The sequence below is a fragment of the Homo sapiens genome, chromosome 2, assembly GCF_000001405.40.
Source record: "Homo sapiens chromosome 2, GRCh38.p14 Primary Assembly".
Lineage (NCBI taxonomy): Eukaryota > Metazoa > Chordata > Mammalia > Primates > Hominidae > Homo > Homo sapiens.
The window spans coordinates 156,243,344-156,268,681 of record NC_000002.12 but is presented as its reverse complement, the minus strand read 5'-3'; the positions used below and the strand labels follow the sequence as shown (position 1 = coordinate 156,268,681).

At 37.4% G+C, this 25,338-nt stretch overlaps 1 long non-coding RNA gene across 2 annotated transcripts in view; it reads left to right on the top strand.

Moving 5' to 3' along the window:
- Window positions 1-13,750: 13,750 nt before the first annotated feature.
- Window positions 13,751-25,338, top strand: part of LINC01876 (long intergenic non-protein coding RNA 1876) — a 234,397-nt gene continuing 222,809 nt past the window's right edge. For both annotated transcript variants that reach the window (NR_110249.2, NR_110250.2), the window contains exon 1: window positions 13,751-13,904. This is a non-coding gene — a long non-coding RNA (long intergenic non-protein coding RNA 1876). The remainder of the gene's footprint in view (window positions 13,905-25,338) is intronic.

Here is a 25,338-nt window from a genome sequence, read left to right as displayed (position 1 = left end):
ACTTTCGACCTTTGATTTTTCAAATACCTATGAGTTTACACACAGGTAGGCTGCTCTTATTTTGTTCTTATTTCACTGGCTATTCTTAGGAGGAAATCTTCCCTAGTTAGCCCAAAAGAAACAAGGCTTATGCATCATTAAAAATAAATGAACATAGTAATTCTTTTACTTAATAAGATATAATAACTTAAAAATATATTAATGCTGTCCCTGAAGATCATAAAGAAGAAAGACTGTGGAAAACTAAAGAATTAGGTAAATCAGAGGAGCCTAAAATGAGCAGGTAACTAGTGAAGAAACAAATTAAATATATTGTATACACAATTGATTTTAATATAGCACCAGTGGTGCATCAATGCAAAAAAACTGTATCCAGGGAGCTTAATCTACTGTCGCTCTGTGGGCATCCAGTCTCTTAGGATTTCAAAATATTAAATAGCATAGGTAGATCAACAAGCTAACGGTACTTTAAAATACAGTAAAAAAGGAAAGTGGTGAATTATCATGCTGATCTTACAAAATATTTTTGATAGATGATATAATTAGAATAGCAATTTTCAATTTTGGCTTTGAGACAGCGTTATTAGCTAATCACAGATTCATTTATAGCTATAAACATGTAAAATTATTTAAAGTTAGGCATGATTTTAAGAATAAAACAAAAGATAAGGAATCAAAGCTTTAGAAAGATTCAGAATCACAGAGGTAAGGACAAAAGGCTTTATAGTAATTATCAAATATAAAACCATAAAGGTCAATAAAATGGACATTTAACAAATCAAAATTAGATCTATTGAGAAGAGAGAATTGAGAGTTATGCCAAAAACTACAGAAAAATTTTAATATTTATGAAAAATCTCAGAGTTCATAATATAGAAGAAATACCAGTTCATCTTGAAAAAATAGAGTTGAAGATTGCGATGTATGTTGATTAAATAAATTTCGCACCAATTATTTTTTTCATTGTAAAAATATTCTCAAGCCTATTTCACTATTTTTTAACAGAGAAAAGCAAAGGAAAGGGTAGTGTTTATTGCAAGTGCAAACCAATTATGTGCTCATATTCTGGGGAAAACATCGACTACATTTATAAAATATAAAGTTAGCCCACTTAAATTTTCTGATTTATAAAAAAAAGATACACATAAAGTGCAGAAATATATATGCATATATGCACATATACATCTATTCGTGTGTGTGCACATGCTAGGATTATTTTCCTAGCATAAACCCAAATTCTGGATTTTTGAATGGTAATTAAAAAGAAATTTAAAAGTTCATAAATTCTATATAATATTGTTTAACATTTAAACTTTTTGTTTCATCCCAAGAATGGACTTCACAGATGCAGTCTCACTGTTTATAAAATGAGTATAAAAATCTTTACCTTATATGATTGTGTATGAATGAGGGAAAAATATGTAAAACAATTAGCACAATACCAGGCATATAGTAAATTTTTTATAAAGGTGAATATTATTAAAATAAATTATTGCTTAAGCTCAGGAGTTTGAGGCTGCAGTGAGCTATAATTGCACCACCGCACTCTAGCCTGGGTAGCAGAGGGGGACCCTGTCTCAAAAAAAAAATATTATGAGAATTGGGGAATTGAATGCTTATACTACTAGAGATGCTTTTACTACTGACACAGAATGACAAACATACTACAGCTACTACAAAGGAAGAGCTAAATATGAAAAAAATTAGATTTTAAATTTGATAAATTGGCTTTATTTAAAGTAAACTTTGGCTGGGCGCGGCGGCTCACGCGTGTAATCCCAGCACTTTGGGAGGCCTAGGCGAGCAGATTACTTGAGCCCGGGAGTTTGAGACAAGTCTGGGCAATGTGGCAAAACCCCGTGTCTACTCAAAATACAAAAATTATCCGGGCATGGTGGTGCACGGCTGTACTCCTAGCTATTCAGAAGGCTGAGGTGGGTGGATCGCTTGGGCCCGGGAGGTCCAGGCTGCAGTTAGTCATGATCACACCACTGCACTTCAGCCTGGGAGACAGAGGAGACCCTGTCTCAAAAGGAAAAAAACAAACCAAAACCCCAAAACTTTACTGGTAGCAAAAATTTGTAATATTTATGGCTAATTTATTGGGTTAATTGACAGATGTTTGTTTTGGCTATTCTACACAGTGCTTACAACTCTACTGAAAGGAATTAGAAAGTTTATTGCAAGCTTTCCAGTTGTATTCATAACATATCTGTTCCTCAAAGTATATTAACGGATTTCTCCAAAAGGCCAATTATCAAATATTCTAATATTTGTGGCAGATTAAATATGGATTCAGGGTTATTAGAAGTGTAGAGATTTATGTGCATCACAGGTAGATAAAGTCATGATGAAGGTAAAGGTTTTATTGCCTAGAAATACATATTTTCTAGATCTATTCAGGAAATTAGCTGCATATGTGTGAAACTGTTATCATCTGCTTTACATTTTTCCATCTGGGCCAAAGGATAGTGTCCGTCCAATCTCTTGCTGAAACATAATGCACTGTAATTTGCTATTCTCTATATCTACTAGTATAGTAATTCTATTAAAATAGATATTTGGTTGGGCCAGATATTCCTTCATTCATTTACTCACTCAATGATAACTTCTAAAAATACACAATGATGTATTATTAGTGAATGTATGCTGGAATTTAGCGACTGTCATTTTCTAAGTGCTCGCAAGGTGTCAGTTCTGCAAGCATTCCATAATTTTGCTGGTCTATAATTTTCAGAATTTAATGTTGAGCTTTTAAAATCTCCACTAATGTTTTTTCTGTTTTGTTTTTGACTGTTGAACAGAATATTTTATCCTGTGAGCAAGCAACTATGAAGACTAAGGATAAAATATATAGTCAGATTTTGCCATAATTGTAAGATATTCAACAAATAAAAATTAATTTTTCCTTTAAACAATAAAATCTAGTTTTTGGTGCTTTCTTTTCTAAGTTCTCCAAAATCTAGAGAATATTTTTAGAGGTGGCCTTTCTGGATTTGAATCCCAGTTCAACTGTTATAAATTTTAGTTACTTCCTAGGTAATTGTGAATATAGTAATTGTGAATATACTTGTGTTGTAGGGTTGTTGCAAATAGATTAAGGTTTTCATAAAGCATTTGATACAAGATATGGAACATTGAGCAGTCCTCTAGCTGTTCGTTCAGCTTTTCTAAACTCCTCACCTCTAGCGGTGGTGCAGATTTAGGGCCAGAAGTAACTCTGGGCTATGAGATTGCAGTTGTTTTGGGGATGGGAGTGAAGTGAAAGTTTGGGGTAAGATACAAATTGATGGGATTGTCGCTACTGAGCAGGCCAGGGAAATGGGAGAAAGAGCAATGGAAAGAAGATAGAAGGTTAGGTAGACAGAGTAAGATCTGAGAATGTTGGGGCCCACATATAAGAGAGGAAGTGTTATTATTGAAATAGGAAGGGTTAGGTTGGTTGGTAGCTTTACTCAAGCTGAGAAAATCCAGATGTATTGTTTGTAACTGAATGAGGACAGAGAAGTCAGTGTGAGTCTTTTAACAGCCAACAGTTTATTGTACACTAGTCTTGAGCAGCTTCAATCTGAATTCATCTCCCCAGGACAGGAAGAAGTCAGGAGATCTCGGGGAGACAGAGCTTATGTCCTTTCTTATTCAGAACTGCCACAACCCCTATCCCTCACCAGTCAGGCCCCACATCACACCAGTGGCCCAGCTGGAATCCTAACATCAGCTAATTCCTTTATATTCTTGTCGTTCTTGACATTGCCAGAAAACGTAATCTCTCATGCTTTCCAATCCCAATAGTGTTTTCTCTGGGCCTCCTAACCCCCCTCTCTGTCCACAAATCTCCTTTTCAGTTGCAACCCCCATCCAATTTTAAACAACTTCCACATTTTCAATACTGAGGTTAATCATTAATTGAGCTGTAATGGGTATGTGTTGTCTACTAAGTGTTTTGGAAAGTCACTTTGACACTTATCCAAATAGACATGCACTCATCCTTCCCATGACCCTTTTCCTTCCATATACTTTAGAATGTTCTTCCTTGATAGAAATGTAAGCTCTGTGAGGGCATGTGTTTTTGTTTTATTCACTAATGTGGATTAAGTAACCATAGCAGCGCCTCTCATATATTAGGTATTCAATAAATAAGCATTGAATAAATGAATTTAATGAGCATACATTCAGCAAATATATGGTTACATGACAATATGACAATGAATGGGTAAAATAATATTTTCCCTTATGGAGTTTACATTCTAATGTGTAAATGCCAGAAGCCTATGACAAACAAACAATAAGCATGTAAACACATATAATTCCATACTTTCATTAATCTGTGGGGAAAATAAATCACATTAAGGAAATAGAGAGTGACTGGTAGAAAGAATTTTGGTTATTTTAGATAGACTGGTGAAGACAATTCTCCTTGGGGAGGCAAATCTGGGCAGAATACTGATGTGATGCAAAATGAAGATTTTGGACGTAAAAAGACTTGGGAATAGGCAGGAGTAATAAACAGAGAATATAAAGATCTTGATATGGCAAAATGTTTTATGCATGTGAGAGAAAGAGTGGTTGGAGATAATGTTAGGGAGATGAGGAAAGGCCATGTTGTACAGGTCTTACAGGTTACCTATACCTGGGGGTCCCTAACCCCTGGGCCTTGGACGGATACGAATACCGGTCTGTGGCCTATTAAAAACTGGGTGGCACAGCAGGAGGTGAGCAGCGGGCTAGCGAGCATTACCTCCTGAGCTCCGCCTCCTGTCAGATCAGTGGTGGCATTAGATTCTCATAGGACAGGAACCCTATTGTGAACTGCTCATGCAAGGGATCTAGGTTGCACTCTCCTTATGATAATCTAATGCCTGATGATCTGAGGTGGAACAGTTTAATCCCCAAACTATCCCCACACTGTCCCTTCCCACGGAAAAACTGTCTTCCTTGAAACCAGTCCCTGGGGCCAAAAATATTAGGGACCACTGATCTATAGGATTTTCATTTTATTTAAATGAGATGTGAAAGCATGGGAAAGTTTGGAAAAGTCTCATGATCTTATTTAGGATGATAAAATCATGAATTAAAAAGCTACTTGGTGGAGAGAGAAAGCAAAGAGACCAGCAAGGAGGCTATTGTAGCATCAAGTGACAAATGATGGTGGATTGAGCCAGAATGGTGGCAGTGGAGTGGAATCAGGTTCTGGATATTCTTTGAAGATGGATTTGATATGGTAAGGGAAGGAGAGGAATTAAGAATGGGTCCTAGATTCCTCAGCTGAGCTGGGAAAATCCATTTTACTATTAGTGTTTCCTCAGGAAGAGAATGAGCTAATGCATTTGGGGAAAATATTATCACTTCCTGAAAACTCAAAAGAAAATGATCATTTTTTAAAAATCTATTGTATCCTTTGTTTTCTCTTAACGTTCTTTTGTCTCCCAGCCTTTTATTTTGAAAAATGTTAACTTCAATAAGAATTTGAAAAAAATAGAACAACCATATACCCTTTACCTACGTTCACTAATTATTAACATTTTGCCACATTTGCTTTCTCTGTCTTTTCACATATACACACAAACACACACAGTTTTTCTCTGAAATATTTGAAAGTATGTTGCAGACATCATGAAACTGCACTGCTAATATTTTGGTATATATTTACACATATTTACTGAGAACAAGAAGATTTTCTTATAGAAATACAAGACCAGAGAAATTTTACATAGCTACAATGCTTTTAATCTAATATATAGCCTATATTGAAATTTTCTCAGTTGTTCAAATACTGTTCTTATTCCTCTTATCTTGAGTCATTCGATGATCAAGTTATGTGTTTTTAATCACTACTAATCTGGGGAGAGGTTGGCAAACTTTCTGTGATGGCTCAGACAGTAAATATTTTGGGTTTTGTGGGCTACCCCATATATTTTCTGTTGCAGCTACTCAGCTCTGCTATTGTGGCACAAAAGGAGCCATAGACAATATGTAAATGAATGAGTGTGGCTGTGGCCAATACACTTTTTTTTTTTTTTGAGATGGAGTTTCACGGTTGTTGCCCAGGCTGGAGTGCAATGGCGTGGCCTTGGCTTACTGCAACCTTTGTCTCCCGGATTCAAGTGATTCTCCTGCCTCAGCCTCCCAAGTAGCTGAGATTACAGGCACCTGCCACCATGCCTGGCTAATTTTTTTTTTTTTTTGTATTTTTATTAGAGACGAGGTTTCACCATGTTGGCCAGGCTGGTCTCAAACTCCTGACCTCAGGTGATCCACCCGCCTTGGCCTCCCAAAGTGCTGGGATTACAAGCGTAAGCCACTGCGCCTGGCCAACTTTTTATGGCCTCTGAGATTTGAATTTCATATAAAATTCATGATTCACAAAATATTATTCTTCCTTTGATTTTTTCCAACAATTTTAAATATAAAAATCATTCTTAGTTTGTTGACTGTATAAAATCAGGCAGCAAACTGGATTTATCCTACGGCCTATAGTTTGCTAACCTCTGATCTAGAGCAGCACTCTTTTTTTTTTTTTTTGGTCTTTAATGATATTGGCATTTTTGAAAAGTCCAGGCGTATGGTCATGTTCTGATTTTTTTCTTCACTATTAAATACAGGTTCAGATCTTTGGCAAGAATGCTACATAAATGGTATTGTGTTTTTCTCAGTGCATCGCATGTCAAGAGGTATAAATGATATCAGTTTATCCTATTATTTGTGAAGCTCTCATCCTTTAATTCAGTTTTGTGAGTATAGAATAATATTTCTTATTGATCTAAACATATCCATACATGTTCTCATAAGCATGAGTTTTATAGTGGAAGACCTAAGTTTTTTCAAAAATTAAATTTTTTATTTTATTTCTATTTTTTTTTAACTTTCATTTTAAGTTCAGGGGTACATGTGCAGGTTTGTTACCTAGATAAACTTGTGTCATGGGATTTGTTGTACAGATTATTTCATCACCCAGGTATTAAGCCTAGTACCCATTAGTTATGTTTCCTGATCCTCTCCCTGCTTCCACCCTCCACCCTCTGATGGGCCCCAGTGTATGTTGTTTCCCTCTATACATCCATGTTTTTTCATCATTTAGCTCCCACTTATAAGTGAGAACATGCAGTATTTGTTTTTCTGTTCCTGTGTTAGTTTGCTAAGGATAACGGCTCCCAGCTCCATCCATGTCCCTGCAAAGGACATGATCTCTTTCTTTTTTATGACTGCATAATATTCCACTATGGAGCTATAACAGGTATATTTTGTCTACTGACTGTTTTGGAAAATCACCACAAATGTGTATATGTACCATATTTTCTTCATCCAGTCTATCACTGATGGGCATTTAAGTTGATTCCATGTCTTTGCTATTATGAATAGTGCTGCAATGAACATATGCATGCATCTGTCTTTATAATAGAACAATTTATATTCCTTTATACACAGTAATGAGATTGCTGGGTCAAATAGTATTTCTGTTTTTAGGTCTTTGAGGAATCACCACATCGTCTTCTACAATGGCTGAACTAATTTACACTCCCATAAACAGTGTATAAGTGATCCTTTTCTCCACAATCTTGCCAGCATATGTTATTTTTTGACTTTTTAATGAAAGTCAATGTGACTGGTGTGAGATGATATCACATAGTGAATTTGATTTACATTTCTCTAATGATCAGTGATGTTGAGCTTTTTTTCATGATTGTTGGCCCCATGTATGTCTTCTTTTGAGAAGTGTCTGTTCATATCCTTTACCCACTTTTAATTTTTACTTTAATTAATTAATTGATTGATGGATTGATTGAGTTGGTCTCTCGCTTTGGTGTCCAGGCTGGAGTGCAGTGGTGCGATCTCTGCTCACTGCAACCTCCACCTTCCAGGTTCAAGCGATTCTTGTGCCTCAGCCTCCCAAGTGGTTGGGATTACAGATGTGCACCACCCTGCCTGGCTAATTTTTGTATTTTTAGTAGAGACGGGGTTTCGCCTGTTGGCTAGGCTGGTCTTGAACTCCTGACCTCAAGTGATCTGCCGGCCTTGGCCTCCCAAAGTGCTGGGATTACAGGCATGAGCCACTGTGTCCAGCTCCTTCAACCACTTTTTTTTTCTTTTCTCCTTTTTTCTTTTCTTTTTCCTTTATTTATTTATTTATCTATTTATTTATTTATTTATTATTATACTTTAAGTTTTAGGGTACATGTGCACATTGTGCAGGTTAGTTACATATGTATACATGCGCCATGCTGGTGCGCTGCACCCACTAACTCGTCATCTGGCATTAGGTATATCTCACAGTGCTATCCCTCCCCGCTCCCCCAACCCAACCACAGTCCCCAGAGTGTGATATTCCCCTTCCTGTGTCCATGTGATCTCATTGTTCAATTCCCACCTATGAGTGAGAATATGCAGTGTTTGGTTTTTTGTTCTTGCGATAGTTTACTGAGAATGATGATTTCCAATTTCATCCATGTCCCTACAAAGGACATGAACTCATCATTTTTTATGGCTGCATAGTATTCCATGGTGTATATGTGCCACATTTTCTTAATCCAGTCTATCATTGTTGGAAATTTGGGTTGGTTCCAAGTCTTTGCTATTGTGAATAATGCCGCAATAAACATACGTGTGCATGTGTCTTTATAGCAGCATGATTTATAGTCCTTTGGGTATATACCCAGTAATGGGATGGCTGGGTCAAATGGTATTTCTAGTTCTAGATCCCTGAGGAATCGCCACACTGACTTCCACAATGGTTGAACTAGTTTACAGTCCCACCAATAGTGTAAAAGTGTTCCTATTTCTCCACATCCTCTCCAGCACCTGTTGTTTCCTGACTTTTTAATGATTGCCATTCTAACTGGTGTGAGATGGTATCTCATTGTGGTTTTGATTTGCATTTCTCTGATGGCCAGTGATGGTGAGCATTTTTTCATGTGTTTTTTGGCTGCATAAATGTCTTCTTTTGACAAGTGTCTGTTCATGTCCTTCGCCCACTTTTTGATGGGGTTGTTTGTTTTTTTCTTGTAAATTTGTTTGAGTTCATTGTAGATTCTGGATATTAGCCCTTTGTCAGATGAGTGGGTTGCGAAAATTTTCTCCCATTTTGTAGGTTTTCTGTTCACTCTGATGGTAGTTTCTTTTGCTGTGCAGAAGCTCTTTAGTTTAATTAGATCCCATTTGTCAATTTTGGCTTTTGTTGCCATTGCTTTTGGTGTTTTAGACATGAAGTCCTTGCCCATGCCTATGTCCTGAATGGTAACGCCTAGGTTTTCTTCTAGGGTTTTTATGGTTTTAGGTCTAATGTTTAAGTCTTTAATCCATCTTGAATTGATTTTTGTGTAAGGTGTAAGGAAGGGATCCAGTTTCAGCTTTCTACATATGGCTAGCCAGTTTTCCCAGCACCATTTATTAAATAGGGAATCCTTTCCCCATTGCTTGTTTTTCTCAGGTTTGTCAAAGATCAGATAGTTGTAGATATGTGGCGTTATTTCTGAGGGCTCTGTTCTGTTCCATTGATCAATATCTCTGTTTTGGTACCAGTACCATGCTGTTTTGGTTACCACAGCCTTGTAGTATAGTTTGAAGTCAGGTAGCATGATGCCTCCAGCTTTGTTCTTTTGGCTTAGGATTGACTTGGCAATGCGGGCTCTTTTTTGGTTCCATATGAACTTTAAAGTATTTTTTTCCAATTCTGTGAAGAAAGTGATTGGTAGCTTGATGGGGATGGCATTGAATCTGTAAATTACCTTGGGCAGTATGGCCATTTTCACTATATTGATTCTTCCTACCCATGAGCATGGAATGTTCTTCCATTTGTTTGTATCCTCTTTTATTTCCTTGAGCAGTGGTTTGTAGTTCTCCTTGAAGAGGTCCTTCACATCCCTTGTAAGTTGGATTCCTAGGTATTTTATTCTCTTTGAAGCAATTGTGAATGGGAGTTCACTCATGATTTGGCTCTCTGTTTGTCTGTTATTGGTGTATAAGAATGCTTGTGATTTTTGTACATTGATTTTGTATCCTGAGACTTTGCTGAAGTTGCTTATCAGCTTAAGGAGATTTTGGGCTGAGACAATGGGGTTTTCTAGATATAAAATCATGTCATCTGCAAACAGGGACAATTTGACTTCCTCTTTTCCTAATTGAATACCCTTTATTTCCTTCTCTTGCCTAATTGCCCTGGCCAGAACTTCCAACACTATGTTGAATAGGAGTGGTGAGAGAGGGCATCCCTGTCTTGTGCCAGTTTTCAAAGGGAATGCTTCCAGTTTTTGCCCATTCAGTATGATATTGGCTGTGGGTTTGTCATAGATAGCTCTTATTATTTTGAGATACGTCCCATCAACACCTAATTTATTGAGAGTTTTTAGCATGAAGGGTTGTTGAATTTTGTCAAAGGCTTTTTCTGCCTCTATTGAGATAATCATGTGGTTTTTGTCTTGGCTCTGTTTATATGCTGGATTACCTTTATTGATTTGCGTATATTGAACCAGCCTTGCATCCCAGGGATGAAGCCCACTTGATCATGGTGGACAAGCTTTTTGATGTGCTGCTGGATTCATTTTGCCAGTATTTTATTGAGGATTTTTGCATCAATGTTCATCAAGGATATTGGTCTAAAATTCTCTTTGTTCATTGTGTCTTTGTCCGGCTTTGGTATCAGGATGATGCTGGCCTCATAAAATGAGTTAGGGAGGATTCCCTCTTTTTCTATTCATTGGAATAGTTTCAGAAGGAATGGTACCAGTTCCTCCTTGTACCTCTGGTAGAATTCGGCTGTGAATCCATCTGGTCCTGGACTCTTTTTGATTGATAAACTATTGATTATTGCCACAATTTCAGATCCTGTTATTGGTCTATTCAGAGATTCAACTTCTCCCTGGTTTAGTCTTGGGAGAGTGTATGTGTCGAGGAATTTATCCATTTCTTCTAGATTTTCTAGTTTATTTGCGTAGAGGTGTTTGTAGTATTCTATGATGGTAGTTTGTATTTCTGTGGGATCGGTGGTGATATCCCCTCTATCATTTTTTATTGTGTCTATTTGATTCTTCTCTCTTTTTTTCTTTATTAGTCTTGCTAGTGGTCTATCAATTCTGTTGATCCTTTCAAAAAAGCAGCTCCTGGATTCATTAATTTTTTGAAGGGTTTTTTGTGTCTCTATTTCCTTCAGTTCGGCTCTGATTTTAGTTATTTCTTGCCTTCTGCTAGCTTTTGAATGTGTTTGCTCTTGCTTTTCTAGTTCTTTTAATTGTGATGTTAGGGTGTCAATTTTGGATCTTTCCTGCTTTCTCTTGTGGGCATTTAGTGCTATAAATTTCCGTCTACACACTGCTTTGAATGTGTCCCAGAGATTCTGGTATGTTGTGTCTTTGTTCTCGTTGGTTTCAAAGAACATCTTTATTTCTGCCTTCATTTCGTTATGTACCCAGTAGTCATTCAGGAGCAGGTTGTTCAGTTTCCATGTAGTTGAGCGGTTTTGAGTGAGATTCTTAATGCTGAGTTCTAGTTTGATTGCACTGTGGTCTGAGAGATAGTTTGTTATAATCTCTGTTCTTTTACATTTGCTGAGGAGAGCTTTACTTCCAAGTATGTGGTCAATTTTGGAATAGGTGTGGTGTGGTGCTGAAAAAAATGTATATTCTGTTGATTTGGGGTGGAGAGTTCTGTAGATGTCTATTAGGTCTGCTTGGTGCAGAGCTGAGTTCAAGTCCTGGGTATCCTTGTTGACTTTCTGTCTCGTTGATCTGTCTAATGTTGACAGTGGGGTGTTAAAGTCTCCCATTATTAATGTGTGGGAGTCTAAGTCTCTTTGTAGGTCACTAAGCACTTGCTTTATGAATCTGGGTGCTCCTGTATTGGGTGCATATATATTCAGGATAGTTAGCTCTTCTTGTGGAATTGATCCCTTTACCATTATGTAATGGCCTTCTTTGTCTCTTTTGATCTTTGTTGGTTTAAAGTCTGTTTTATCAGAGACTAGGATTGCAACCCCTGCCTTTTTTTGTTTTCCATTTGCTTGGTAGATCTTCCTCCATCCTTTTATTTTGAGCCTATGTGTGTCTCTGCACGTGAGATGGGTTTCCTGAATACAGCACACTGATGGGTCTTGACTCTTTATCCAATTTGCCAGTCTGTGTCTTTTAATTGGAGCATTTAGTCCATTTACATTTAAAGTTAATATTGTTATGTGTGAATTTGATCCTGTCATTATGATGTTAGCTGGTTATTTTGCACGTTAGTTGATGCAGTTTCTTCCTAGTCTTGATGGTCTTTACATTTTGGCATGATTTTGCAGTGGCTGGTACCGGTTGTTCCTTTCCATGTTTAGCGCTTCCTTCAGGAGCTCTTTTAGGGCAGGCCTGCTGGTGACAAAATCTCTCAGCATTTGCTTGTCTGTAAAGTATTTTATTTCTCCTTCACTTATGAAGCTTAGTTTGGCTGGATATGAAATTCTGGGTTGAAAATTCTTTTCTTTAAGAATGTTGAATATTGGCCCCCACTCTCTTCTGGCTTGTAGGGTTTCTGCCGAGACATTCACTGTTAGTCTGATGGGCTTCCCTTTGAGGGTAACCCGACCTTTCTCTCTGGCTGCCCTTAACATTTTTTCCTTCATTTCAACTTTGGTGAATCTGACAATGTGTCTTGGAGTTGCTCTTCTCGAGGAGTATCTTTGTGGCGTTCTCTGTATTTCCTGAATCTGAACGTTGGCCTGCCTTGCTAGATAGGGGAAGTTCTCCTGGATAATATCCTGCAGAGTGTTTTCCAACTTGGTTCCATTCTCCCCATCACTTTCAGGTACACCAATCAGACGTAGATTTGGTCTTTTCACATAGTCCCATATTTCTTGGAGGCTTTGCTCATTTCTTTTTATTCTTTTTTCTCTAAACTTCCCTTCTCGCTTCATTTCATTCATTTCATCTTCCATTGCTGATACCCTTTCTTCCAGTTGATCGCATCAGCTCCTGAGGCTTCTGCATTCTTCACGTAGATCTCGAGCCTTGGTTTTCAGCTCCATCAGCTCCTTTAAGCACTTCTCTGTATTGGTTATTCTAGTTATACATTCTTCTAAATTTTTTTCAAAGTTTTCAAGTTCTTTGCCTTTGGTTTGAATGTCCTCCCGTAGCTCAGAGTAATTTGATCGTCTGAAGCCTTCTTCTCTCAGCTCATCAAAGTCATTCTCCATCCGGCTTTGTTCCGTTGCTGGTGAGGAACTGCGTTCCTTTGGAGGAGGAGAGGTGCTCTGCGTTTTAGAGTTTCCAGTTTTTCTGTTCTGTTTTTTCCCCATCTTTGTGGTTTTATCTACTTTTGGTCTTTGATGATGGTGATGTACAGATGGGTTTTTGGTGCGGATGTCCTTTCTGTTTGTTAGTTTTCCTTCTAACAGACAGGACCCTCAGCTGCAGGTCTGTTGGAATACCCTGCCGTGTGAGGTGTCAGTGTGCCCCTGCTGGGGGGTGCCTCCCAGTTAGGCTGCTCGGGGGTCAGGGGTCAGGGACCCACTTGAGGAGGCAGTCTGCCCGTTCTCAGATCTCCAGCTGCGTGCTGGGAGAACCACTGCTCTCTTCAAAGCTGTCAGACAGGGACATTTAAGTCTGCAGAGGTTACTGCTGTCTTTTTGTTTGTCTGTGCCCTGCCCCCAGAGGTGGAGCCTACAGAGGCAGGCAGGCCTCCGTGAGCTGTGGTGGGCTCCACCCAGTTCGAGCTTCCCGGCTGCTTTGTTTACCTAAGCAAGCCTGGGCAACGGCGGGCGCCCCTCCCCCAGCCTCGCTGCCGCCTTGCAGTTTGATCTCAGACTGCTGTGCTAGCAATCAGCGAGACTCCCTGTGAGTAGGACCCTCCGAGCCAGGTGCGGCTTATAATCTCGTGGTGCGCCGTTTTTTAAGCCGGTCGGAAAAGCGCAGTATTCGGGTGGGAGTGACCCGATTTTCCAGGTGCGTCCTTTACCCCTTTCTTTGACTCGGAAAGGGAACTCCCTGACCACTTGCGCTTCCCAAGTGAGGCAATGCCTCGCCCTGCTTCGGCTTGCACATGGTGCGCGCACCCACTGACCTGCGCCCACTGTCTGGCACTGCCTAGTGAGATGAACCCGGTACCTCAGATGGAAATGCAGAAATCACCCGTCTTCTGCGTCGCTCACGCTGGGAGCTGTAGACTGGAGCTGTTCCTATTCGGCCATCTTGGCTCCTCCTCAACCAGTTTTTAATGGGGTTGTTTTTTCTTGGAAATTGTTAAAGTTCCTTGTAGATGCTGAACATTAGCCCTTTGTAGGATGCATAGGTTGCAAAAATTTTTCTCCCATTCTGTAGTTGTCTGTTTAGTCTGTTGATTGTTTCTTTTGATGTGCAGAAGCTCTTTAATTAGATCCCATTTGTCAATTTTTGCTTTTGTTGCAATTGCTTTTGGTGTCTTTGTCATGAAATCTTTGCCCATGCCTATGTCCTGAATGATATTGTCTAGGTTGTCTTCTGGGTTTTTATAGTTTTGGGTTTTGTAATTAAGCCTTTAATCCATCTTGAGTAAATTTTTGTATAATGTGTAAGGAAGGGGTCCAGTTTTAAACTTTGGCATATGGCTAGCCGGTTATCCCAGCATTATTTATTGAATGGAAAATCTTTTCCCCATTCAATAAATTTATCCATTGCTTGTTTTTGTCAGATTTGTCAAAGATTAGATAGTGGCAGGTATACAGTCTTATTTCTGGGTTCTCTATTCTGTTCCATTGGTCTGTGTGTCTGTTTTTGTACTGGTACCATGCTATTTTGATTACTGTAGCCCTGTAGTATAGTTTGAGGTAGGGTAACGTGATGCCTCCAGCTTTGTTCTTTTTGCTTAGGATTGAATTGGCTATTTGGGGTCTATTTTGCAAGCCCAAGAGTTCTTAACAGAAAAGTAATTATATACAGAAATGATCAACCATTAGGAAATTATGCATTGTTGATGGGCACAAGGTTTATGACAGGCAGAAATTTGCAAATGAACTAAGTAGAGTTTTACATTACTTTTATTTTATTTTATTGAGAAGTTAAAAAATTATCTGCAGAAAACAAAATCAATCAAATTCCTCTGTTCATGGTATGCTATCCTCTTTTCTCTTTGTTCACCTTTTATCTTCTTGTTATTTTCAAGCCACCCCTGACCACTCAACTGCATTTGGATATATGTATTTTTTCAGATTACACATATATATGTATATATATGGAATCTGAAAAATATAAAATATTGTTTTATATTTGTATGCTTTATATTTATATAAGTGATAGCGTATTTTAATCTCATTCATTTTTTGATTTTCTTATTCTTCACTATGTTTTCTTGATTTATGCCTATTTTCCTATGTGTCATTTTGCTCTGATCATAGTATTCCATAGTACACATTTATTCTACTTTATTTCCCTAGCAAAGTGCACCTAAATTGCTTCCAACTTCCTTCTATCACAAATAATGCTGTGATAAACATAATGACACACAACTCCTTTGGTATCTCTGCACATATTTCTCTGGACATATACTGAGGAGAAAGATTGCTGTGTCTTAGGCGATGCACATTCCATACCACAGTTCACACTGCCAGACTAAAAGGGCTCTGTTGCTCTTCATGCCTGCCACGATGCACAAGATTCCTATTTCTCCATAATCTCACAAACATTTGGTGATATTTCTAGTTTTTGTCAAAGTGATGTATATAAAGTGGTGCCTCATGTTTTAATTTGCATCCACATAAAAATCAGTGTGGTTGATCATCTCTTTACATAATAGTTTTTCCATTGGATACTCATGGGTTTTGATCTTTTACTTGTTGGCATATGTCCCTCATATCTTATAAATATTAAATGGTTGCCAATTTTTGATATGTTTATAAAATAAAATAGAAATTAAAGAAGAGAGAGAGAATATGGAAGAATTCTTCTTCTTCTTCTTTTTTTGGTCACCCAGGCTGGAGTGTAGTAGTGCCATCTGGGCTTACTGCAACCTCAGCCTCAGAGGTTCGAACAATTCTATGCCTCAGCCACCTGCGTAGCTGGCATTACAGATGCATGACACCACGTCTGGCTAATTTTTGTATTTTTAGTAGAGATGGGGTGTCGCCGTGTTGGCCAGGCTGGTCTCAAACTCCTGACCTCAGGTGATCTGCCTGCTCCCAAAGTGTTGGGATTACAGGCATGTGCCACCAACCTCTGCCAAATACGGAAAATTCTAAAAGTAACTGAATTCAGAATTCATTTGGAGTTTATATGGATTTTATCATGTTATTCTTTCCACTTGACTGTGTGTTTGAAAAAGCCTATATTAAAATTTTGGCTAAAGTCTTTTTGCTTTGCATCAACAGTTTTCAGAGGCTGTGGAGCTGAAATAGAAAATGTTCATATTCATTTAGCTATTGAAGAAATAATAATAATAATAATTTTTTTTTGAGATGGAGTCTCGCTCTGTCGCCCAGGCTGGAGTTCAGTGGCACAATCTCGGCTCGCTGCAAGCTCCAACTCCTGGGTTCATGCCATTCTCCTGCCTCAGCCTCCCGAGTAGCTGGGACTACAGGTGCCCGCCACCACTCCCGGCTAATTTTTTGTATTTTTTAGTAGAGATGGGGTTTCACCGTGTTAGCCAGGATGGTCTCGATCTCCTGACCTCGTGATCTGCCCACCTCGGCCTCCCAAAGTGCTGAGATTACAGAGGTGAGTCACTGCGCCTGGCCCCTGAATAAATAATTATTGATTACTATTTGATATTGATAACTAGTGATGCATTGGTAAATGAGACAAAATCCCCCCTAAGGAGATCATAGTCAAGTGAAGGGGGATGTCCATAAATAAGTAAACCAGTAAATGAAAAAACGACTTCAGATAGTCACATTCCAGGAAATAAATAAAGCAGAGTGTATGATATTGATTGGGGAGACAGAATGAATAAAGAAGTTTTAGATTAATGATAGAGTGAGGTGGTGATATGAGATCATGAACTTCAAAATCAGATGTGGATCTAAACCCTGGATTCTTCACTAGATTTGGAGTTGGACAGACTTGGATTTAGATCCTAGTTCACTCTGTGGTAAGTAGATTTTTTTTTTTTTTTTTTTTTTTTTGAGACAGGATTTTAGTCTGTTGCCCAGGCTGGAGTGCAGTAGTGTGATCTCGTCTCATTGTACCCTTAACTAGATTATACTGGCTTTATGTTATAGTTTTTAAATTAAAATGTCTTAATTTATAATGATATGAATTGGAAATTAGTGTCTTGTAGCATCACAGAACTCAGAGGTATGGCAAGAAAATCAAGAAGGCTTAAATGAATCCAGAGTTAGTTCATATTGATATAGGCATTCATAGCAGAAATTAGAGAGCAAGTAGTTAAACTAAATTAGGTAATATTGTACTAATTAATGACTCCAATTTAATTTTGGGAACATACAGTATAATCAGTATGAATCTTTAAATATGGTATGTATCTACTTATAACCATGTGATTTACACTCTATGATGTCTGCACAACTCTAAGTATGCACATACTTAAGGCTAATTTACCAAGCTGATTGAAGGTAGGGCAGTGTATTAGTCCGTTCTCATACTGCTATGAGGAAATACCCAAGACTGGGTAATTTATAAAGAAAAAGAAGTTTAATGGATTTACAGTTCCACATGTCTGGGGAGGCCTCACAGTCATGGCGGAAGGTGAAGGAAGAGCAAAGGCACATCTTACATGGTGGCAGGCAAGACAGCATGTGCAGGGGAACTGCCTCTTATAAAACCATCAGATCTTGTGATACTTATTCACTATCATGAGAATGGCATAGGAAAACCCACCTCCATGATTCAATTACCTACCACTGGGTCCCTCCCACGACACATGGGATTATGGGAGCTACAATTCAAGATGAGATTTGGATGGGACATAGCCAAATCACATTAGGCAGTGTCTTATAGAGTAACAATTCCCTTGTTTGCTAATGACCCATTTAATAGTATGATCCAGAATATAAAAATAAGTGAAAAAAGACTTTGAGCAGCCAAACTAGACACTGGAAAATTTGTGCAATGAAGCTTACATAGACTTTATGCTGGCCTAAAATATTTGTTTCCTCTAAGAATATATGATATTGGTGATACAATCTGGACTTAGAGAAACCTATGGGAAGATCTCTCCCCTTTGGACATTATAGTAAGGAAAATTATGGCTTGCAAAAGATGTCCATGTCTTAACTCCTGAAACTTCTGTATATGTTACCTTGAATGACAAAAGGTACTTTGCAGTGATTAAGATAAGAATTTTGATATGGGAAACTATCCTGGTTTATCTGGGTTGGCCCAATGTATCTACCTGTGTCTAATGCCAGAAAACCTTTCCTGACTGTGATCAGAGGGAGATGTGACTATGAAAGAATGGGCAGAGAGGTGGAATGTTGGTGGCTTTGGAAATGGAAAGAGGTGGCGTCAGGAGCCAAGAAATGGATGGCCTGTAAAAGCTGGCAAAAGTAAGCAAACAGATTCTGCTCTAGAGCCTTCAGAAAAAAAAAAGCAGTCCTGTAGATGCCTTGATTTAGGCCCAATGAAACTCATGGTGCACTTCTTTAATTTTTTTTTTTTTTTTTTGAGATGGAGTCTCACTCTCGCCTAGGCTGGAGTGCAGTGGTGCAATCTCCACTCACTGCAACCTCTGCCTCCTGGGTTCAAGCGATTCTCCTGCCTCAGCCTCCTGACTAGCTGGGATTACAGTCAAGCGCCACCACGTCCAGCTAATTTTTGTATTTTTAGTAGAGACAGGGTTTCACCGTGTTGGTTAGGCTGGTCTTGAACTCTTGATTTCATGATCCACTCGCCTCGGCCTCCCAAAGTGCTGGGATTACAGGCGTGAGCCACTGCACCTGGCTCTCATGGTGCATTTCTAACCTACAGAACTGTAAGATAAATTTTTGTTGTTTGATGTCATTAAATCTGCAGTTATTTGTTCTAGCTTAATAGGAGATGAATACACCTATTAATGCTTTTTGTCAGGCCAGAGATTACATTCAACTACATAATTTACGATCTTGTTGTGGCCCAAACTATATAGTGGACAGGTTTGCCTTTTTATACATACATATATGGATGTAGTTTTCGTTCTCTGGATGATACATTTCCATAAATAACAAACAAAAAGAAAATAAAAATGAGAAGTAGTATGAACAAAAGATCACAATCTGGTTTTAATTGAGCAACTTGCTTGATTTAGGAATCCCAATCCAATCTAGGTCTGTGTTTATTTTTGTTACTGGGCAAAGTGTCCTATCTGTAACCCAGAGAATTAATCAGTGGTAGAACCCAAGTTACACAATTGAAGTAAGAAAAGTAGCTTCTTAAAAATACAACTGAGGCACATTTATTACCAGAAATCAGGCTGCCTTGATAGCAGGATAAGAACATTAAATTAATTAAAGAAATGGATTGCATCAAATAAGTTTTCATGGGAATGGGAATTGAGGAGACAGTAGAATCTTGGAATTTTAAAAGACCTTAGAAGTCACTGAGTCCAGCAATTCTCTAACCTGGCCGTGAACAACTTTGGGGAAATTTTAAAACGTAAAGATGCCCTGATTTCATCTCAGCTTTATCAAATCATTCTTTTAGGTGATATTCTTGTTATTTATATCTTAAATAGAGCTTTCCAGGTGATTCTGATGTGGAAGACAAGTATTTTGGACTATTAAGTCCAACTCTCTACTATTCATTTCCTTTATATCACTACATCAAATCATTCCACAAGGATTTGAGCATATGGTAGGGAATAGTCAAAATTTATTATTCTGCCAATCTACAAGTTTAGTGATTTTTAAGCATAGAAAGAATTCAAAATTTAGAGCCAGGAGAAATAGAATATAATGCAGTGTAATAATTGATTGTTAATCTTCTTTTCAAACTCTTCGAATAGCAGGGGACACGTCACTTACATGGCAACTATTCTATTCTTAGACAACTACAAATTTCAAAATATTTCTTCACATTTAGCCAAAAATCTCTCCACATAACTCCTAACTGAAGGCTTATAATCATATTTATTATAGTCATATGAAGCCAGGTGGATAAATGAGATGCCATTAAGTGGCTCAGTGCCAGACACAGACATCTTATCTGGGAAATCTTGTCAAGTTCATCCAGTGCTACATATCTGTCCTATGTGCTCTGATAGCGCTAATCAATCTTATTGCAGTCACTTCTTTGCTTGTTTCTTCTGTAATATTGTAAATGCCTTTAAGGGTGGAGACTATTCTTTCTGAATCTTTAGCAGCTCGTATCAGGCCTGGCACATAATTGGTCCTCAGTAAATATTTGCTAAATTAATGCATGAATTGTTGGTGTAGTTGTCAAATCTTAGGTTTCCTCCTCTTCCTTTCTGTTATTATGCTTCTTTTCTTCTTCATGCCCTATCAATATTTAAATACTTTATAGAATTAGCAACTTAAGTTCTTCCAGCTGTTTTTCGTAATTAATTTTTAAAAATATTCTTCTCCACCTTTGCCCTCTACTTTGAATATCTTTTGATGATATATTTTCCTACTAGAGTGTGGTACCAAGAACTAAATTGTGATACGATAGGTGACTTATGAGTAGCACAGAATGTAATAGGCCCATCTCTACCTAGTTCTGGTCACCACACTTCTGTCAAGGTAGCTCGGAGAGACGGTGTCTACTTATTCACCACATCATGAGATCACCTCAAACTGAGCAGGCAGCCAATGAAAACCGTGAGCTTTCTTTACATTAACTTTCTGAAAGTCATTTTTTCTTATTCCACTTTGTGCCTTTTTTTAAAAGCTGCAGCTTCATGGAATTTAATCCTGGTATTTAAAACACTTACTGTTTAACTCTATTAAATTTCACTTTGATTTACTCTGTTGACATCTACTTTAATTTTATCCTGTGAAATATCTTACTGTGCCTTCCATTCCAGCAAATCTTTATATTTGTTGAACATACTATCTTATGTAAATGAAGTTTAATGATAAAACATTGGGTAGGGCAGAGACAGGATCAGAAATTCTGTGGAATACAACTATAAACTTATTTATAAAGACTGCAATCTATTAACTAATGAAGTAATTAATGAACCAATCATCAGTCAATTATTATTCTTTTGGTATAGTAGATAGAAAAAATATAAATCCACATACTGTAGTATTACCCAGCTCATGTGTCTCTTTCATTCACAAGAACATAATGAGACACTTCATCAAATGTCTCTTTAAAGTCTAGTCTACTTGTGACATTCCTCTGAGGTAATATTAAAGTGTTAGATCAAGAGTGTGGTCTGCAGCAAAAAAAAAAAAAAAAAAATTTGAAATGTGGAGGAAATTTACAAAAGCATCTAGGTTACTGGATGAGAATTGTGAGGATTTGAGCTACATACTTTTAGTGCTGGGATTTTGGAGCTAATATAATTCAATCCCCACAAGAAACAGATAATCAAAAAGTTTGAAAAAGTAGGGTGACTTGGTAAGATTCTGTACTTAGAGGCAAAATGGATTTAGGACATGTTTTGCTGAACATCTTATCCAGTGATGGTTCTACCACTTACTACACCATCACTCTTTTGATCTTTATTTCTCAGCTAAGTGGTCAACTCACCCTCTTTATCTTCTTCTTTGATGGACATTTCACTGTACAGAGTCTGAAGCTGTGGAAAGCAAGTGAATTCTTTCTTTGAAAGGCCATAACTTTACCCTCAGCAGTGTTTAACTGTGGCAAATATGAACTGCTTGAAAAAAGTCTCCTTTATTTTTTCAGCCTATTTTATACTGAGGTTTTCTAGAGATCAAGAGGTAAGGCCAGATGCCTCATTTTCTAAAATTATCTTTTAAGCTCCTTGCCTGTTTAAAATATAGAAAAATGTGTTTGTGAAAGTAAACAACTTCCATGCCTCAGCTTTTCTTTGGTAGGGAATAATTATCTGTGTTTAAAACTATTAAAAGTTCTGGGTAAATTTTAAATTCCAGGTGGTTACAGAAGAGGGCTACTTTCTTTGAAGTTTTCTGTGCAATCCAATGGCTAAGGACTGGTCAACCATCACATTATCATTTCAACAAACTCTGTAATAACAGAAATAAGTGAATACTACTGTTATCTCTGTCTTACAGGTAAGGAAGGTGATATAGTTATCGAGTACATCTGGCTCTAGAGTATGTACATTTAGCCACACTCTCTAATGTCTCTCAAAATACCCCAGTGTTCTTAGTTTAAGGAATTGAATAGTCTTGATAATGGATTTTTACCCACTTGCAGTGGGAGAAGGAAAGGGAGTGCTGGAGATGTAGTGGTGGAATGTGCATTAAGACACAAGTGTTATTCAGTTACCAGTGCTTATCCTTGGGCCTTTTATGTTTTATTCACCGATTCACCGTTTCAAACTCCTGTGTCCATATTGGATATGGGTTTCCTACCTGCATCACAGCCTCTACATTCTTTTAGCTTCCTAACTATAATTTCTTTTCTAAGTCTTGAGACCTTTTCTCTCTTTTACCGTCTTCTTTGCTCCTATCATAGAATATACCTGTAATATTAGTTCTATAATAATAGATGTTGGCCAACCATTTTACTAACCTTGATAATATATCATCAGGATTATATGACAATAGAATTTTCATTGAATTATTCTGCTCTTATTTCTCTTTAGTTTACTTTCCCAGGTTTGGTTGAGATTTCCTCTTGTAATCCACTATTTTTCCAAAGATGAATTTACCATAACCTAAGCAGATAAAAATTTGCCTACTGATTCAGAGGACAGTTAATGAACTATCATTGACACCTACTAAATATCTATCTTTTGAGACTATGTATTTCAGTAATTATAATCTATATATCTTTTTCTTTATGTTTAAATGTTTTATTATAGAAGTTTAAACATGTGCAAAAATAGAGACTAATTTAATGAACTTTATTAACCCATCTGGTTTTAACAATTATTAACATTTTACTAATCTTGTCTCTTAAAGACATGGTGGACTTTTGGAATTAAAAAAATAGTGGTTAATCACATGACATATAAATTATTTTTCTATCATTTTCTACAATGTTGTCACCCTATTATTTTGTACATGATAATATTTTTTGATGGTATTTATTGCAGATTCAGCTGGACTTTGATTTTTCTTAAAAAACTAGACTGTCATTTAAATATTTCCAATATATTATGATTTCTATAAAATTGGATCAAACTGTTTTTAATGAGTTTTCTAAGACTATAAACTTATGATAACCTTGGAAATTAAAGTTTTTAACTTCTGGTATAAAGCAAAGAGTACTTATCTTTGTCTACTCTTTGTGGTCATCTCATCTTCATTTAGCTGTAAATCCCTGGGTGGTGTCTTTATAGATTTGTCTTATGAATTATCAATTATTTTGTTGCAGAATAAAAGTAAGAATTTAGTTAAGTAATGAATTATGGAGAATATTATTTAAACTTTCACCAAAAGATACAATTAAGAATGAAAATGTGGCCGGGTGAGGTGGCTCATGCCTGTAATCCCAGTACTTTGGGAGGTCGAGGCTGGTGGATCACCTGAGGTCAGGGGTTCAAGACCAGTTGGCCAACATGGTGAAACCCTGTCTCCACGAAAAATACAAAAAAGTATCCGGGCATGGTGGCGAGTGCCTGTAATCCCAGCTACTTGGGAGGCTGAGGCAGGAGAATTGCTTGAACCTGGGAGGTGGAGGTTGCAGTGAGCCGAGATCATGCCATTGCTCTCCAGCCTGGACAACGTGAAACTTCGTTTCAAAAAAAAAGAAAGGAAGGAAGGAAGGAAATTCAATCCAAAGATTTATAAAACAATAAATGGAAGGTTCTAGTGTAGAGTGAGAAACAGAAGCAATTTAGCATTAAGCCATATGCTATTGATTAATAAGAGAATACATGTGTCCTAGCTCATATGTTGTCTAAGGATCCATATAATAAGAAAAAATGTGATGTTTTGGTATGCTTTAAGGTTTCTTTTCAGCAGTCATGCAAGAATGGGATAACAATTTTGTAATTATGGCTTGCCTTGAGTAAGCAGCTTATTGCATTATGGTATGACACAAGTACCTGCTTGTCTCAAAATATCCACTATTGACTTGACCTAATATTTGAAAATCTCACAATTAATAAACATATGGGGTTATGACATTAAATGCTTAAGTAGTATAATTGCATTACATGTGAAACCTACTCCATTTAATCATAATCCCTATTATCACACTGGCACCAATTAAGTTATCACATTGGTTACCCACCCAGCTAAAAGGCACAGGAACAAGCAAGCGAGCTTTACACAAGGAAGAGAGAACAGGGACAGTGTAGAATATAAGTTAAAGAAGCTTTGAAAAACACAAAGAGCTAGTTGCTTGAGGGCAAGAAGTATCAAATCAAAGATTGGGGAAGGTATCCTTAAAGGAGATAACAAATGATCAACTAGTAGCTCTACCTTTAGATAGCCCTTGTCCAGATTATTGCAGTTTTAGATATGATACAGTGAAAAGTATTCCTTTGTAATAAAGACTTACTTTATTTTTTATATATAATCTAGTTTTTCTTCTATAAGTTAGGATATCAATAATCATGGTTTTAAGATTTGGGAATGTTCTGAGGAAATCCATGGGTAGCTGTACAGATTGAGATTTACTTTTATAAATCCAAATAAATCCACAAGGTAGAGAAAAACATAATTTATGTGTTAGTCAGTAGAATTGGGACTTCAGTATTGTTTGGAAAACAACTCAGGTTCATGATGCAATGAAGGATGCATCACTAAGGTTTGGCAAAGAAAATATCCTTGGTTAAAATCTCTTCCTTAGAAACCCAAAAAATCACACTATATTCCTCAGATAGTATGGATTATAATTACACGAAAACCAAAAATGTAATACATAGGAACCTGATAATTAAAAATTCAGATGTGTTTTTATTTTCTATTATTGGTAGATTTTTTTTAAAAAAAAGATTCCTTTTGTCCTGTATTAAATTTGAATTAAATTTGAAAATCACAAAGTTCATAAATTTTTTTTTTTTTTGAGATGCAGTCTCGCTCTGTTGTCCAGGCTGGAGTGCAGTGGTGCAATCTCAGCTTACTGCAACTCCACCTCCTGGGTTCAAGCGATTCTCCTGCCTCAGCCTCCCGAGTAGCTGGGATTACAGGTGCATGCCACCACGCCTGGCTAATTTTTGTATTTTTAGTAGAAATTGGGTTTCACCATGTTGGCCAGGCTGGTTTCAAACTTCTGACCTCAGGTGATCTGCCTGCCTCAGCTTCCCAGAGTGCTGGGGTTACAGTCATGAGCCACTGCACCCGGCGCGTAAAAAGTTTTTTTAACTTTCATGTGTATTCCACATTAGGAGTCTTGTAAGGCATTATGTAATATTTTAAAAATA